General features: G+C 46.3%; 1 protein-coding gene across 4 annotated transcripts in view; it reads left to right on the top strand.

Moving 5' to 3' along the window:
- GABRP (gamma-aminobutyric acid type A receptor subunit pi) overlaps positions 1 to 17,359 on the top strand; it is a 31,328-nt gene that overhangs the window by 600 nt on the left and 13,369 nt on the right. For 2 of the 4 annotated variants that reach the window (NM_014211.3, NM_001291985.2), the window contains exons 1-6: positions 406 to 555; positions 5,255 to 5,349; positions 5,810 to 5,928; positions 10,912 to 10,979; positions 11,889 to 12,106; positions 14,147 to 14,229. In NM_014211.3, the coding sequence (NP_055026.1) occupies positions 5,297 to 5,349; positions 5,810 to 5,928; positions 10,912 to 10,979; positions 11,889 to 12,106; positions 14,147 to 14,229 (541 nt within the window). In that variant the 5' untranslated portion in view covers positions 406 to 555; positions 5,255 to 5,296. Of the gene's footprint in view, positions 1 to 405; positions 556 to 5,254; positions 5,350 to 5,809; positions 5,929 to 10,911; positions 10,980 to 11,888; positions 12,107 to 14,146; positions 14,230 to 17,359 lie in introns of those variants that run through there. The other 2 variants (XM_024446012.2, XM_005265872.2) reach the window with 2 other exon arrangements.

Consider the following 17,359-nt stretch of genomic DNA (forward strand, 5'->3'; position numbering starts at 1 on the left):
TACACACAGTCAGCTTCTCATTTTATAGATGGGAAGCTGAGGCCTAAGGAGGTGAAGTGGCCACTATAGCCATTCCATTGCACCAGGGTGGAGGGCTGTCCACCAAATTCAGAGCCCGGCATAGTGGGTGGGGGTCACCCACTTTATCTGACTCTCATGGGTCCTTGATCTCAGGGGTCTTTTCTGGCAGAGGTCTGGGAGCATGACTGAGACATGATCTCAGAATCAAACCCCTGGAGGCAGTAGCTATAGCAGGAGCTGACGATCTCCAGAAACTCAGGACCAGACGATCTCCAGACACTCAGGACAAGTCAGTGTCCCCACCAAGGATGGGGCTTTGAGAGGCTCCGCCCACCTCTGTTTCTGCACAGCAGGTTTAGCAGCTCCATTCTTCCCCAGAGAGCCACTCCATCTGAGGGTGGCTGCGTGTCCACATACGAGGGGACAGGGCTGAGGATGAGGAGAACCCTGGGGACCCAGAAGACCGTGCCTTGCCTGGAAGTCCTGCCTGTAGGCCTGAAGGACTTGCCCTAACAGAGCCTCAACAACTACCTGGTAAGGAAACTGCTGGCCCCTCCAGGTGTCTGGAGAGAGGGGAGGGAGGGAGATCCAAATACAAGCCCTGCTGGGACCGAGGGAGGGGGCAGGCCTGGACTCTGCTGAACACCTAATGAGCATCAGGGAGCGCCACTGCAGGACGAGCAGCAGAGCCAAGATTAGAGCCCCTGCTGTCCTCACTACAGCCACAGTCATTCACCCCTGTGCAGCAGCTGGCCAAGACCAGCAGACACAGGGCACGCGCCGCACCACTTTATCTTCTGGGATTTTCTTAAGCGGGACCCATGGCAATAATGCCTTTCCTCACCTTAACCTAATTCGGGCTCTACTCCTGCTTTCCAACAAATGATTCTGTCTATGCTGAAGTGATAAGGATAGGAAAACTGTGCCTGCATAGGAAGGAAGCTGGAGGTGACAAGTTGGGGTTGGGGGTCACTGTATTTACATGGTAGAAATTCTGGGAATAGAGTAGAAACGGTAGTAGAAACTTGCACATATTGGAATTATTTCTGCTTCCAGCCTGGGAAGTTTTCAAAAGAGACATAGAGGCCAAGAGCACGGAGTATAGAAGCCCAGTAGGCCAAGCCAGGAAGAGGCGGGGGAGACTGGGAGACATTAGGCTGGATTTCTGGTTTAGAAAAAGGTGCCATCAGCTCCCTATGTGACCTTAATGCCCTGTGCCTGACCCTGTACTTCCTGAGGTGGTGCCAGTTAGCTCACACTCTGAGTGGCACCTGGGGTGTATATAGAAATAGAAAGAGCTTGAGATTTGGGTTCTATTAGTCATAGTGGAATCACTGAATTCCCATGGAAGACACGGAAGGCAGAGGAGAATGAAAACTAATGTTTATTGAATGCTTTCTATTCCCATTTGTCAGATGGGAAAACTGAGACTCTGAGAGGTTAAATGACTCGGGTGTATCAGGATCCAGAGCTCAAGGTCTCCTCTACAAGTGGAGGTAGGAGCTTGGCCAGAGATGCCCTCGGGGCAGGATAATGCATAGGCTGCCCCTACTCAGGAGCCTCCTAGGGCCTCCTGAGCACCATGTCCCTGCAGATGCAGAAGGCTAGGTGGTTCCAGTCAACATCTGTGTTGCAGCTTTGGGGACAACCCTTAGGACACTGCTCTCTGGTGGCTCAGTACCTCTCCACTAAATTCCATCCCCCAGCACCTGTACCAGAACTGGTGGCCTGAGCCTCCATTGAGGCTGGCCGACACATAAATAGCCACTTAACGATTGGCTCGTCTACCACAGGGAGTGATGGCATCAGCTGCACTTGTCACTTGGGATGTGCTGCGGATGCAACACTCCATCCCCCAGATGGGTTTGGTATAAAAAGGACAAGATTCAAGTGGAATCCAGTTCAGCTTGGGGGTGCTGAAGGCCCTCCTCCTAAATGCAGGGCAAAGAAAAGGGACTTGGAAAACAGATTTAAATCATGCCACTTAACTGTGTGACCTCAGCCAAATCCCCTTGCAAATCTAAGATTTGACTCTAAAAATTAACACCTTCTGGGCCAGCAGCCATGAGAATTAAATGAAATTAAGCACCAGACATGGCTTCTAACAATTCATGGGCATTTAGAAGCCTTTTTCTTCTCTTTTCTTCCCTTATAAAATGAGACGTGTTTAGCAACTTAACCAAGCAAACACGGTAGGATGGGATTACATTTCTGGCTCTAGCCTGGGTGAAGCTTCTCAGATCATGAGACTCCTTAGAGGAGGCTGAGAGGCCCAGGGCCAAATGTTACATCTTCCTAACAGAAGTTTGGCCACTGGGAAAGCACTATTCAAGAGGAGTCTTGGAACTGAAGACTGGATGGTTCCCCAAATCACTTGATCGAGGGCCATTTCCTATAGGAGGAGGAGGAAATGAGGAATATGCCAAAGTGGAACCATGTTCCTTCAGGCCAGACCAGGAGAAAGACACAGACAGCCAAGGGCTGGTGGGAAGAGGCTGATAAGCATGTGGGAGAGAGGCCGTGGGCAAGCCTGCACATCTCTGTCCAACATTTGGAGGGCCCCCACTCTCCTTTGTCCACCTGGCAAATGCAACTCACTCTTCAAGAATCAAATGACCTTTTCTGTGACTTCCCTTTTGACATTGCCCCATCCTCCCTGCTCTTTTGCATACCAAATATCCCCTGTCCTCTGCTCCTATTAGAGGATGCTGTAGGGAATGTTCATTCACCAGTCACACATGTCTCTTCCTCACTAGATGGGTGGGTGCTCTGGTGGTGCTTTTCACATGCCTGGTTCACAGGAGAAGCTCAATAAACCTGTGGAAAATTGAATGAGGCAATGGAGGGCATGGGAGCTGCTCCATGGACCCCCTTAAACTCAATGCTTGGACAGGGAAAGGACAGGGATTGGGGAGATGGACTAAAGGAAGAGAATGTGAATATGATCGTTGGTAGATTTATAATGTTGATTTTATAACTGGTATTTTCAATGAGTGAGAACAAAAAAGCTAACATAACAGAGAGCAGAATGATAAGAATTTACCTGTGTGCAAAACTGTTCTTCACTGATTTTGTAACGTAAAAACTTTGGAAATAACAGCATTCACAGTAGAAGATGTGTTCTAGAAATGTTGGTACATTCAGACCATGAGACACCTTGCAGCCATTAGAGAGAATAAGGCGGATTATAGGAACTGACATGGAAGGTGTCACTGATACTGCAAAACAGCATGTTTCATGGTGCACTCATTAAGAGGAGTTGGGTCAGCTTGCTTAGATGTACTTTTCTGCCCCTCATGTACTACTTAGCCTTGGAAATATTCCTTATCCTCTCTAATCCTCAGTATTCTCACCTGTAAAATGGGGAGAATGGTAGTCCCTACTTCAAAGAGTTGTGAGGATTCTAGATATGCGTGGCACAGTTGTAAGCATGCATTAAGTGTTCAATAAATGTTTGCTATAATTAAGTTAAAAAAGTAAGCCGCAAAAAGCATGCTATTGCCCCAATTTTGCTTTTTAATTTTTTTGATATAGAGATATATATGTATGTAAATATATATGTGTATCTGTGGATAAAACAACTGTTATCGGTAGTTATTTCTGAAGTATGAGACAAAAGAGAAGAAATGGGGGGGGACTTTTTTGTTTTTGTTATGTTTTTTTAAATAGACTTCTTTTTTAGAGCAATTTTGGGTCATAGCAAAATTGAGCCTTCCCTACACATAAAACCTTCTTTACTGTCAACATCCCGCATCAGAGGGACACATTTGTTTTCATTGATGAATCCATATTGACACATCATTGGGACTTATACTTTTAACTTCTGACTTGTTGCCATTTCAACAGTGAGCGAGTATTGGTTTTGAAAGTAAAATAACATTAATGAGTGGCTGAATCATGCCCTAAGCTCCAGAATGGCCAGATTCTAGAAAGTGGCTTGTTTCACAGAAGTTGCCACAGAGAAGGTAATCAACCCAGGGCTGCCTGAGAATGGGGCCTGAGCCTGAGCACCCCCATTCTGCTGTCACCAGCATGACAGGTCACAGGCTGGCCTGCCTGGCTACCCCCTGCTCCCTCAGAGGGACGCCTGACAGCAGCTCCTGAAGCTGAGGAGGCCGGGCCCCTGGGCCATGCCCCACGGATGGTCCTCACATACACACCAGCTGGAAGGCTTCAGGAAACACAGGGACAAGGTCTAGGAGGTCACGACAGCAGCAAGGATCCTCGGGTCAACTAAGGCCCAGGCCCCAGCCTGCTCTGAAGGAAGAGAGTACCGGGGGGGAGGCAGCCAGCCCTGGATTCAAAGTCTCCCCTGGCACTCACTAGCATGGTGTCCTTCCCATGCACCTGTTTCCTTGTCGTAATAATATAGGGATTAACCCGCCCACCACACAAGGCCACTGTGAGGATGGAGTGAGCTCTGTGGGACAGCACCTAACTCATGACCTCCTGACACTGGAGGCTCTCAGGTTTTTGTTTCCTGTCTACATGACTGACCCCACAAGCCTAGACCTGGGGATAAATAAAAGAATGTCTGGCTTGGTCAAGGTGAGTGTAGAGTTGAGAGTGTCCTTCCTGGTAAAGCTGGGACAAGGACAGGGCAAGGATAGCCTTGGCTCCCAGCAGATATGGCCCAGAGGATAAACTGGCTGCATTTCTGGTGCTGATGAACCACTCTCCAAACAAGGTCCCAGTCTTAATTTGGGATAGATTTAAAACATAATCCTGGTCCAGGCATAGTGGCCCATGCCTGTAATCCCAGCACTTTGGGAGGCCAAGGCAGATGGATCGCTTGAGCTGGTTCGAGACCAGCCTGGGCAACATGATGAAACCCCATCTCTACCAAAAATACAAAAAAATTACCCAGGTGTGGTGGTACATGCCTGTAGTCCCAGCTACTCAGGAGGCTAAGGTTGGGAGCATCGCTGGAGCCTGGGAAGTTGAGCTGCAGTGAACCGAGATCATGTCCCTGCACTTCAGCCTGGATGACAGAGTGAGGCCCTGTTTAAAAAAAATAAAAAATTAAAAAAAAAAAAAACATAATCCTCCAAAATGAAGTCATTCCTGGAGGGAACACAGGGAGAAGGAGCTGTAACCGAAAGGTATGGAAAGAGGCTGCTTCCTATGCATGCTGAGAAAATGCTGTACCGACCACCCACCAGAGAGAGAGGCTGGCCAGGAGCAGGTGAGCCTGTTGCACGGCCTTCCACTTACCTTGCCCCCTGTTTCCCAGGTGATTCCTACTTCAGCCCCTTGGTGTGAGCAGCTTCTCAACATGAACTACAGCCTCCACTTGGCCTTCGTGTGTCTGAGTCTCTTCACTGAGAGGTGAGCTTTGCTACCCCCAGAATGGCCTCCATCTGCGTTGCTTTGCATTCGGGCATGTGGTGGGAGGGGGCAGCTCCTCCTATTCACCCACAGCAAGGCAAAACCCGGTCCACTCACTTCCCTGGAGCACCGAACAATGAAACTTCCTGCCATTTACTCTATTTACAGAACACAAGCTTCCAATATGGTCATAGATGAATGAACCCTTATGTTTTTAAAGAAGAGACTTGGAGGGTTTCCAAATTACCATGATATTTTGATCTATGGCAAATGGGTAAAAAATGGAGATACTAACTCAATAGCTGAAAACTAAGAGATTTTTCTGTAGGAATGTCACTGCTGGTACATGGGCAAGGCACATACACCCACACACACGTGGGCAAACACAAGCTCAAGGGTGTGTACACGTGTTGATTCACACATAAACAAGCAAACACAACAAAGCCCATTTCTTTTCCAGGATGTGCATCCAGGGGAGTCAGTTCAACGTCGAGGTCGGCAGAAGTGACAAGCTTTCCCTGCCTGGCTTTGAGAACCTCACAGCAGGATATAACAAATTTCTCAGGCCCAATTTTGGTGGTAGGTCATCCTCTGTGTCCAGGACATCATTCAAAGGGACGAAAACAGAGACAATAAGCAGTGGAGGGTTTCGGGAGGTTTTAGTTGACTCCATTTTCTGATCTGCAGCCTGTTAAGGATTGGCAATGATGGATGAGGATGGCTACCAATGATTTTTCACACTGCCTGGAAAAAGGCACCCAGCCTCTCCACCTGCAAGATAAAGGAATGCTCCTTCTCACTGTGGAGGCTGCAAGAGCCTCCTAACACTCACACACTGTCGTCCTCCTGCCCCCACTTCCAGGGTCATTATTCAATGAATTCACCATGCGCCACCAGGCTACCCCATCTGGTCTTCCCCCTCCAGCCTGAGCCCTTTCAGCTGACTCCCCAAACTGCCATCTGGATGCCTCCTGGGTCATTGCCCTGTTGGAACACCTGTATGTGTCCCAGCATGCTCGCGTAGAGTCCAGGCACACTAGGCCCTTCCCAGCCCAGCCTTTATCTGTCTGCCATTCTCATCCACCCAAGTCCCCGCTCCTTCCCCTCCTACAATGCTCCCCAGTGTACTCAGAATGCTCCCTGACATCCCTGGCCTCTCCTGCCTCTATGCCTTTACAGAGGCTTTCTTCCTGGAATTGCTTCTTTAAACTTGACTCCCTAGAAAATATCAATTTTCCATCATGTCTCAGAGCAAACGCTGCCTTCTCTGAGAAGCCTCCCCTGATTCCTCCAGGCCCCATCCCCTTTCTTCACACTTCCTTGTGAACATGCCTCAAAATCATAGCCGTTCCCATTATGCTATAACTGATTTCATGTCTGTCCCGGCTCCAGGCTGCAGCCCTAGAAGGAGTCTGACTTCATTTCCCTCACTATCCCCCATAGAAGCTCAGTGCGTGACATATAACAAATTGCTGATTAATATCTGTTGAAAGAATAAAGCAAGGAGGGAGGGAGTGAGGCCAACTGCACAGCTCTTCATAGCAGAAAACAACAGAAAGAGCCTTGGCATTTAACAAACCTGAGTTTGGCTCCTAGCTCTCCTGCTTGGCAAGTGGTTTAGCCTTCTGTGCCTCACTGTCCCTTTCTGTAAAATGGGGACATCCATCTATCTCACAGGGAAGACTGAATGAAGTGTGTAAGCCTGAGGCACAGTGCCTGCCCCATCAACAGAGTGTGGGTTATTTTCATCCCTTCTCCTCCTTGCTCCTCCCCTCAGATAATAAAACCCTCTGGTCTGATCTAAGATTCATGTGGTAGTCCAGATCCTCCGGGCAGCAGATGCCAAGAGCTGATGACTTCTTCAAGCTATTTAGGGGGACTATGTCTAGAAGGGAGAATGAGGCAGCGGGAGAGGCAAGCTAGGAGAGCTGTCAGACCTGCAGGTCTGGCCTCAGGGAAGGAGAGAGGGAAGGAAGGGAGGTTGGGTGGAAGCATCTTAGATGGAAGGGCAGTCCTCAGTGTTTGGAATGACCACCAGGGAGTCCTTGAGCTACAGGTGCATTCAGAGGAGTCTCCCATCTCTGTGCCTCCCAGGAACAGGCCACTTTGATATCCCCACTGTGTTCAGTCTGTGGTTGGCTGTGGCCCATGAGAAGTGTGGCCTCGGAGCAAGTGTGGTGGTAGATTCCAAAGCACAGCAGCCGAGGCCCTCAGTCAATCACACCTGCTCAGTTGGAGATGGGAGAGATGCATTTTCATTCAGATTTGAGACACAATTAAGATGTGAGATCCTGACATTAAAGAACCTAAAGAGGCTCCAATATCCCCTGGTTTTCCCAGGCCCTACTGAACACGTATGACAAGCACGTGAGTCTGCACGCCTTGGTTAGTGCCACTCAACAATTTCTCTTGCCTCCCAAACCCCAAACAATTAAGTCAGAATACACTCCTTCTTGTTTGCCTACTCACTGGCCAACAAGGTGCAGGGTCCTTGGGCAAGGAGCTCATTCTGAGAACAGGGAGCCTGGGGTAGGCCTAAAGGGATGTGATGCCTCATCCCACCTGGGGTGAAAATGGGGCATGGAGTCTTCAGTTTAAAAAAGGGAAAAGCACAACCCCATACCCCTTGTTTTGTGCCTCTTGGCACTTCACTCCTGAAAATCCCTATACTTGCATGGCAGGCTGGAGGCCCACGGAGGGCCATTGCTCTCTGTAATGTCTGTGCACCCAGTTTTCAGGACCCCAAGTCCAAAAGAGACAAGACCTTCATAGGATTTCTTAGGGATTGAGCTGGACAAAGCAAAGGTTTGTAAGCAGGCACTAGTGAACACTACCCAGGAGCTGGCTTTGACCTCGTTCCTGGGAGAAAGCTGCCCTCTGGTGGCACAGCTTGCTTTTATAACTCAAGGGGAAGAAAGAGCAAGCTCTGGTCCAGTAGAAAAGCCAATTGAGGCAAAGCCTAGATTAGACGGTGTAGAATATAAACTGGACAGAAAGCACAGTGGAGCTCTCGTGTCTTTTCCATTCTCTGCATTCTTCAGGGAGGGCAACTAACACGGATCTATGGCACTTAAAGTAGATGCCGTAACCGTGCCAACCCAACTCTCAATGGTTGGCACTTGTCTCAGTCTGTTTTGTGCTTCTATAACAAAATACCTGAGGCTGAGTATTTATAATGAGCAGAAGTTTATTGGCTCACAGTTTTAGAGGCTGAGGAGTCCAATATCAAGGTGCTGGAATTTGGCAAGGGCCTTCTTGCTGTGTCATCAGATGGTGGAAGGTGAGAGGGTGAGAGAGAGGACAGGAGAGGGCTGAACTTGCCCTTTTATCATGGCACCAGTTCCACCATGAGGCTTAATCACCTCTTAAGGGTCCTACCTCTTAACACTCTTACAATGGCAATTAAATGTCAACAAGAGTTTTGGAGGGGACAAACATTCAAACCACAGTGGCTCTAGTAGCTCTGTTTTACAGGTGTGAAACTGTAGCATAGGCCAAGCGCAGTGGCTCATGCCTATAATCCCAGCACTTTGGGAGGCTGAGGTGGGCAGATCACCTGAGGTCAGGAGTTAGAGACCAGCCTGGTCAACATGGTGAAACCCCATCTTTACTAAAAATACAAACATTAGCTGGGCATGGTGGTGGGTGCTGTAATCCCAGCTATTCTGAAGGCCGAAGCAGGAGAATCACTTGAATCCAGGAGGCAGAGGTTGCAGTGAGCCATATTGCACCACTGCACCTCCAGCCTGGGCGACAAGAGGGAGACTCCATCTCAAAAAAAAAAAGAAAGAAAGAAAGACAGAAAAAGAAGAGAAACTGCAGCACAGAGAAACTTGAAATTTGCTGAAGATCACAAAGCTGTTAGGTGGCCTGAGTGGAATTCAAACACCTGTCTCTGACTCCAGGCTTCTCGTCTCAGAGCTGCACCTTGCTGCCCAGAGGGGCAGAAAGCCACTTAGCACCAGGTCACTCCAGCACCTTCCAGGGTGTGCCCTCAAAGATCTCGCCCTTTCCCACCAGATATTAACATTCAATTATTGTTCAATTGCATTGGCTCTAACACTTCATTTTCAAATTCCTACCTATATCCTATGGCTTAGTCTCCTTAGATTAATAAGTAGTTTGCCTTGCCGTATTCCTACCGATGAGATGTTTTTAAGCTTCTTTTGAAATCCGCCTGGCCTCTTCCTGGTTAATGCATTATCACAGTCCCCTGAGGTACCCCCGGGGGTTATTTATTGCAAGTGAATGCTATTGCATCTATTAGCCTGGTGAATAAAGTTGTCCCTTTTCCAAAATTAGCTAGGATTACGGAAGAGAGGGGGAAGGGAAGGGAAATGCCATTATTGAGCGCCTATTATTACGTGACTGATGGACATGACGCTGGGAGCTTTGTACAGATAACCAATGATGAACACCTTCAGGATGTCCGGCTAGGCAGGCACTTCTCTTACACTCCCCATTGCCGCCACTCCACAAAGACAATGTCACACGTCTAATCTCATTTAGCCCTTCCCATGACCCTGTGATGTCAGTATGATCTCCACTTGCAGGTAAGAGAACTGCAGCTCTGAAAGATTTAATAACTTTTCCCAAATAAAGAACTGGGAGGTGACAGAGCTGGGATCTAGGTCCATTATTCCACATCTCCATATAAAGAGAAGTAAACTTCCCTGACCTGGCCTGGCTTCTTGAAGGTGGCTCTGACACCTCAGTCTCTAGAGATAGAACTCTCTCTCTCTGAAGTTCAATCTGTCTGCTGAGACTCCAGGATTGAGGCCCAACAGTCTGCACACTGGACCAAGTGTGGAGGTTCTGAAATTCTAAATTGTTTAGGGTTCCAGGAGAGTAAAGGAAGAGAAGCAAAGTATCAGGAGGTCAGCAAAAGCTCAGCCATGAGTCTTGAATGCCTCTTGTGGTAAATTTACTTAGCCAAGTGGGGGATAAAACAACATCTGTGCGCAATCAGATTACCAAATCTGTTACCTTTCTAAACAATTAGTTCCTTACAAATGCCATAGGAAAAACCCTCCATGTAAGAAGTGGCAAATGTCTTAGCACTATGTTCCTTATGCGTTAATTCAGCGTGACCAACATGGAGAAAAAAATACAAATTAGCCGGGCTTGGTGGCACATGCCTGTAATCCCAGTTACTTGGGAGGCTGAGGCAGGAGAATCGCTTGAACCTGGGAGGCGGAGTTTGTGGCGAGCCGAGATCGTGCTATTATTGCACTCCAGCCTGGGCAAGAAGAGTGAAACTCTGTCTCAAAAATAATAATAATAATAATTAAAAAGCATTAATTATGCAGGTAGTCTCTCTTACATATTAAGATACCTATGTATGTGTGCATATTTTTCATACAAAAGAGAGGCACACCATACACAATGGTTACTCTTGAGAGGGGATAAGAAAATTTTTCTTTTTATATTTATAGAATATTTAAATTTTTCTAACAACCAAGCACAACTTTTGTAATTTTAATCTTTTTTAGAATGCACTAATATAGTATTAAGACAGCTCATGGTTGTGTTTCCATTCTTTCTTGTTTTTTTTTATCTTAGGAGAACCCGTACAGATAGCGCTGACTCTGGACATTGCAAGTATCTCTAGCATTTCAGAGAGTAACATGGTAAGCGCTGTTCCTTTGTACTCTACCCAAGTAGTCCCTCTCTGTGTGTTTAAAGGGGATATGCTTTCTAGCCGCTCAAAAAAAAAAAAAAAAAAAAAGAATGGCTCATGGCCCTCCTCCATTTGGAATGGCAGAAGCTGGAGTGCTATCTCCAAACTCAAGACAGTGGGAGATTCTTGTAGAGCAGATTTTCTGAGTAAGACAATGGAAGATTCTTGTAGAGCAGATTTCCTGAGTAGCAGGAAGAAAATCGGTTCAAGAGCCAGAAGGAGAGAAACCAGGCAATGAAGTGGGTACACTTGGTGATGGATAAAATTTGGGGAAAGGAATGAAAGTGTAGTAGGCAAGCCTGGCCATTACATGGTCTTTTATAATGGGGGAGACAACCCGAGGAAAACTGACAGCTGATGCTGACAACGACTGTCTCCCTTAAGAGAACATATTCGAGACAAGGGCAAACTAAAGGCAGTTTGCCAAGAGGGTATGCTGTGCATTCCAGATAAATCGTGGACAACCTAAGCACTTAGCCCACCAAAAAATTCAACAATTTGGTGGGGCCTTAGTGATCAGTGCAATGTGAGCTGTCACACCAAGTAAGTTAAAGTCTTGAACATGGCGTTCCCTTTTGGCAATAGGAGCTATTATCTAGAATAAATAAGGCGATTTGTTCTCTTATTGCAATATGCCACTAACCCAAGACTGGGGTAACTGGAGTGACTTATCAGTTACCCCAGTCTTGGGGTAGTGGCATATTGCAATTAGAATGGTAACTTTATTCACCAAAGTCTGTGTATTCTTGCTCTAAGTGGAGGTGGGGAGGGGAGTAAACTTTGACCACTTTCCTCCATTTGGTGGGGTTTTCTCACCCACTACCCCCATCCATTTCCATACCCTGCCTCCCCCTCCCAGGACTACACAGCCACCATATACCTCCGACAGCGCTGGATGGACCAGCGGCTGGTGTTTGAAGGCAACAAGAGCTTCACTCTGGATGCCCGCCTCGTGGAGTTCCTCTGGGTGCCAGATACTTACATTGTGGAGTCCAAGAAGTCCTTCCTCCATGAAGTCACTGTGGGAAACAGGCTCATCCGCCTCTTCTCCAATGGCACGGTCCTGTATGCCCTCAGGTACGCGGACACCTGTGACCTCAGGGGTGGAGGACGGCAGCTGGGAGAAAACATGCAGATGTGTCTTGGGTAGTTGTGACCAGAACTCAAATAGCCACTGTGAGGTCCCATGGCTTCTTAGATCCTTGCCCCCATAATAGAAGGTCCCTCTCTCAGTTCATCATCTACCAAATGCCTGCTCTGTGCCAAGCCCCATGCTGGCCACAGGATAGAGCTGAGTAAGGCATTGACCTGTCCTCAAGACACGGACATGGAAACAAAGGAGGTCCCTGGTGCTGGGGCCCAAGTTAGGGAGTAGGTGAGTGGTTTGGGGGTGATGTTACAGGATGCTTTCACAGGATTCTGAGCTATGTCTTAAAGGGTAAAAGGAAGTTAGCAAGGGAAGAAATAAGGGCAATGGCAGAGACGACAGAGAGGTGCATGCAAGGAACTTTCCTTTCTTGGGGCCCAGTGGAACTGCAGCAGCTCCAGAACACCACTCTACTTGTCTGAGTCATGTTTGTAGAGAAAACCAAGGTGCAGTGCCCCAAAGTCTCTGCCACCTGCAGCCATGGGCTCCCCTTTGCCATCTCCCCAAATTCCTGAAGCTCAAGTTCCTTTCACCCAATTGTTAATGGAGCCGGGTTGGATGGAACAGGACTCATCCCTGCCTGTGCAAGGACTGTGCAAACCTAAAGCTCCCAGAGGCCTTGGGGAGGAGGCCAGGAGCCAAATATTCATGGGGCTGATGTTTAATCTTAAGTAAGAGTCTAAAGTTATAAAACAAGGGTTGAGCTAACCGATAAACTGAATTTCTGGACATGCCTCAACTGTACTGAGTTTTGCAAAGACCATCTCAAAGCCCAATTCTTGTCTCATGAAACATAATTAGACTTCTCTTTTGACCTCAATTCCAATCATCGTTAATGTTCCCCTTCCCCATGTTCCCACAGCAATGTGTGAATGTGGATGTGTGAGTGTGTGCATGCATTTGTGTGTACATGTGTGTCTGTCTGTATTATGGCACACAACACAATCAATATTGTGTAAGGATTACAAATAATGAGTGATGTTTTAATAGCCTGGCTCTAGAATCATAAAGATTTTGGTACAAGTCCCTGCTCTGTCCCTCAGCAGCTCTGTGACCTTAGGCAAGTTACTTGACTCTCAGAGCCTCAGTTTCATCAGCAGTAAAATGAGAATTAAAATATTTCCTACCTAGTAGAACTGTTCAAAGGGGTAATGCATGCAAAGCACTCAGCCCAGGGACTAGCTCACAGTAAGCACTCAGTAAACCATAGCTATTGTTAGTCTCTGTCTCCCTAAAGGGAGTGTGAGTGAGCATCCTGGAGGTGAGCACCATTCTGTAATCACCTCCATTTCCCCCAAGTACCTAGCACAGTGCTTAATAAATAAGGATGCTGAATAAAAATGTATGACACTGAAGAAAAAGGAAGATAGAGGCCTGGTGAATGCAATCTCCACTGTGAGGGCATAACTGACCTTTAATTGAATATCTCTGGGGTTAAGCCCCCAAAGCCACAGTGCCTGGGGCCCCCACTGCCTCTGCATCCTGGTTCCCATGAGGAGGCAGGGCCTCATGAGAAGAGCACAGCCAGGAGACCTAGGCTGCAGCCTCAGTTCTGCCACTCAGAGCCACATGAGCCTATGCAAGTCCCTATGCCTGCTGTCAAGTGGTGACGATAGTGATGGTGAACACTGTTCTAGGCCCACCCAGGTCTGTCAGGAAGATAAAATTTAAAAACTGGATGCTAAAGCATCTCGAGCCAATGCATCTGTCTGTTCTGTGATACTGCCAGAAGTTTTGCCCCTTGAATGGCCAGCATTCCAACTTCCTCCACTCTGGACCCAGGTTTAACCAAGCCTCATGCACACATTCTTTAGCACCCAGAGCCTCAAGGATGCTTTACATGCAGACTCCAAGCTACATGTTCATTTAAGAGTTCCAGTGAAAGTCTTCTTTGAGTGGGCCTTCGAAGGAATGTGAACTTTCTATAACTTCCTCACAATACTGTTTTTGAACCTGTTTTTCCCTCTTAGAATCACGACAACTGTTGCATGTAACATGGATCTGTCTAAATACCCCATGGACACACAGACATGCAAGTTGCAGCTGGAAAGCTGTAAGTATACATCCTACAGGCTCCTGAGATGATTTTCCTGGGTGACTTAGGTGTGTGTATTCATGAAAAGTATCTCATACACAGTGACCTTTCTTTTCTTAATGTTGATTCATCGTGGATTCAGCCCTTCTGACTGTACTTCCAGACAGATTTAGAGACTTCTCAAAGATATGCCTAATATCTTTTGGGGAGAACCATTATGCATTAGTACCAGATATCTCCACCTATGAGTGGACAAGAAAACCAAAGGAAATGCTTTAATGTAGTTGGTGGTCTAGGCCAGGGGTCAGCAAACAACGGCTGGTGTGCCCAATCCAGCCCCATCACCTGTTTCTGCTAAGGAAGTTTTACTGACACACAGTCGTGCCCATGTACTTACACACCGTCTGTGGCTACTTCTGTACTGCAGTGGCAGAGTTGAGTATTTGTGATAGAGACCAGATGACTCATAAAGCCTTAAGTATTAACATTCTTCTTTGCTGCAGAGTTTCGTTTTGTTTTGTTCTGTTTTGAGACGGAGTCTCGCTCTGTCGCCCAAGCTGGACTGTGGTGGCGCGATCTCGGCTCACTGCAAGCTCTGCCTCCCAGGTTCACGCCATTCTCCTGCCTCAGCCTCCCAAGTAGCCGGGACCACAGGCGCCCGCCACCACGCCCGGCTAATTTTTTGTATTTTTAGTAGAGACAGGGTTTCACCATGTTAGCCAGGATGGTCTCGATCTCCTGACCTCATGATCTGCCTGCCTCAGTCTCCCAAAGTGCTGAGATTACAGGCGTGAGCCACCGTGCCTGGCCTGCTGCAGAGTTTTTAACGGGCTCTAATAAGTTACTTCCACGTGAAATTCCAAGAAGGAGTGGTAGCACTTCCCAAACGTTTTAAACCATGGAATCTTCTTTCATAAGCGTTTTGTGGGACAATCATTTCATAAAAAACATTTCGGTGACAACAAATATAGACTAGCCCCTGAGACCTAAACTTTTAATATTTAATTTATGCCATCTATCTGATTACTAACTCTCAAAGGGTCTGTGGTTCCAGATGAGTTCTATGACCATGTTCTTTGCCACCCACCCACCCTTACTCTCCCAAGATCATATCAGCCACAGGTCCCAGTAGAAGATATGAAAAAGGTCATGGACTTTTCATCAATGTACTCATCATTTGTCAGCAAATATGTCCAGGGCTACATTTTTAGGTCTAAAAAATCACAAAGACTTTATTTTATTTCTTTTTTCATTTTTTTTGTTTTATATATATATTTTTATTATACTTTAAGTTCTAGGGTACATGTGCACAACATGCAGGTTTGTTACATATGTATACATGTGCCGTGTTGGTGTGCTGCACCCATTAACTCGTCATTTACATTAGGTATATCTCCTAATGCTATCCCTCCCCCCTCCCCACACCCTTCCTGTGTTCCCCTTCCTGTGTCCAAGTGTTCTCACTGTTCAATTCCCACCTATGAGTGAGAACATGCGGTGTTTGGTTTTTTGTCCTTGTGATAGTTTGCTGAGAATGATGGTTTCCAGCTTCATCCATGTCTCTACAAAGGACATGAACTCATCATTTTTTATGGCTGCATAGTATTCCATGGTGTGTATGTGCCACATTTTCTTAATCCAGTCTATCATTGTTGGACATTTGGCTTGGTTCCAAGCCTTTGCTATTGTGAATAATGCCGCAATAAATATACATGTGCATGTGTCTTTATAGCAGCATGATTTATATTCCTTTGTGTATATACCCAGTAATGGGATGGCTGGGTCAAATGGTATTTCTAGTTCTAGATCCCTGAGGAATCGCCACACTGTCTTCCACAGTGGTTGAACCAGTTTACAGTCCCACCAACAGTGTAAAAGTGTTCCTATTTCTCCACATCCTCTCCAGCACCTGCAGTTTCCTGACTTTTTAATGATTGCCATTCTAACTGCTATGAGATGATATCTCCTTGTGGTTTTGATTTGCATTTCTCTGATGGCCAGTGATGATGAGCATTTTTTCATGTGTCTTTTGGCTGCACAAATGTCTTCTTTTGAGAAGTGTCTGTTCATATCCTTCGCCCACTTTTTGATGGGGTTGTTTGTTTTTTTCTCGTAAATTTGTTCAAGTTCTTTGTAGATTCTGGATATTAGCCCTTTGTCAGATGAGTACATTGCAAAAATTTTCCCCCATTCTGTAGGTTGCCTGTTCACTCTGATTGTAGTTTCTTTTGCTGTGCAGAAGCTCTTTAGTTTAATTAGATCCCATTTGTCAATTTTGGCTTTTGTTGCCACTGCTCAATGAAATAAAAGAGGACACAAACAAATGGAAGAACAGTCCATGCTCGTGGATAGGAAGAATCAATATCGTGAAAATGGCCATACTACCCAAGGAAATTTATAGATTCAATGCCATCCCCATCAAGCTACCAATGACTTTCTTCACAGAATTGGGAAAAACTACTTTAAAGTTCATATGGAACCAAAAAAGAGCCCACATTGCCAAGTCAATCCTAAGCCAAAAGAACAAAGCTGGAGGCATCATGCTACCTGACTTCAAACAATACTACAAGGCTACAGTAACCAAAACAGCATGGTACTGGTACCAAAACAGAAATATAGACCAATGGAACCAAAGAGAGCCCTCAGAAATAATACCACACATCTACAACTATCTGATCTTTGACAAACCTGGCAAAAACAAGAAATGGGGAAAGGATTCCCTACTTAACAAATGGTGCTGGGAAAACTGGCTAGCCATATGTAGAAAGCTGAAACTGGATCCCTTCCTTACACCTTATATGAAAATTAATTCAAGATGGATTAAAGACTTAAATGTTAGACCTAAAACCATAAAAACCCTAGAAGAAAACCTAAGCAATACCATTCAGAACATAGGCATGGGCAAGGACTTCATGTCTAAAACACTATTTTATTTTTTTTTTCTGTGCAAAGCACTGTGATAATAAGAAAAACCTCACTCCCCATTGCAAAGGAAGTAGAGAGGCTAGTGAGGAAAGACTTCTTGGAGGAGGTAACAAAATGTGTTTTATGGCCTCAATCTGCTGTTGCCCCAATCTCCTTGACTGAACAACTTTTTTGTTAACAATAATAGTAATAATAATAGTAATAAATGGGCAAGGCACAGTGG

The sequence above is a fragment of the Homo sapiens genome, chromosome 5 (assembly GCF_000001405.40).
Source record: "Homo sapiens chromosome 5, GRCh38.p14 Primary Assembly".
Lineage (NCBI taxonomy): Eukaryota > Metazoa > Chordata > Mammalia > Primates > Hominidae > Homo > Homo sapiens.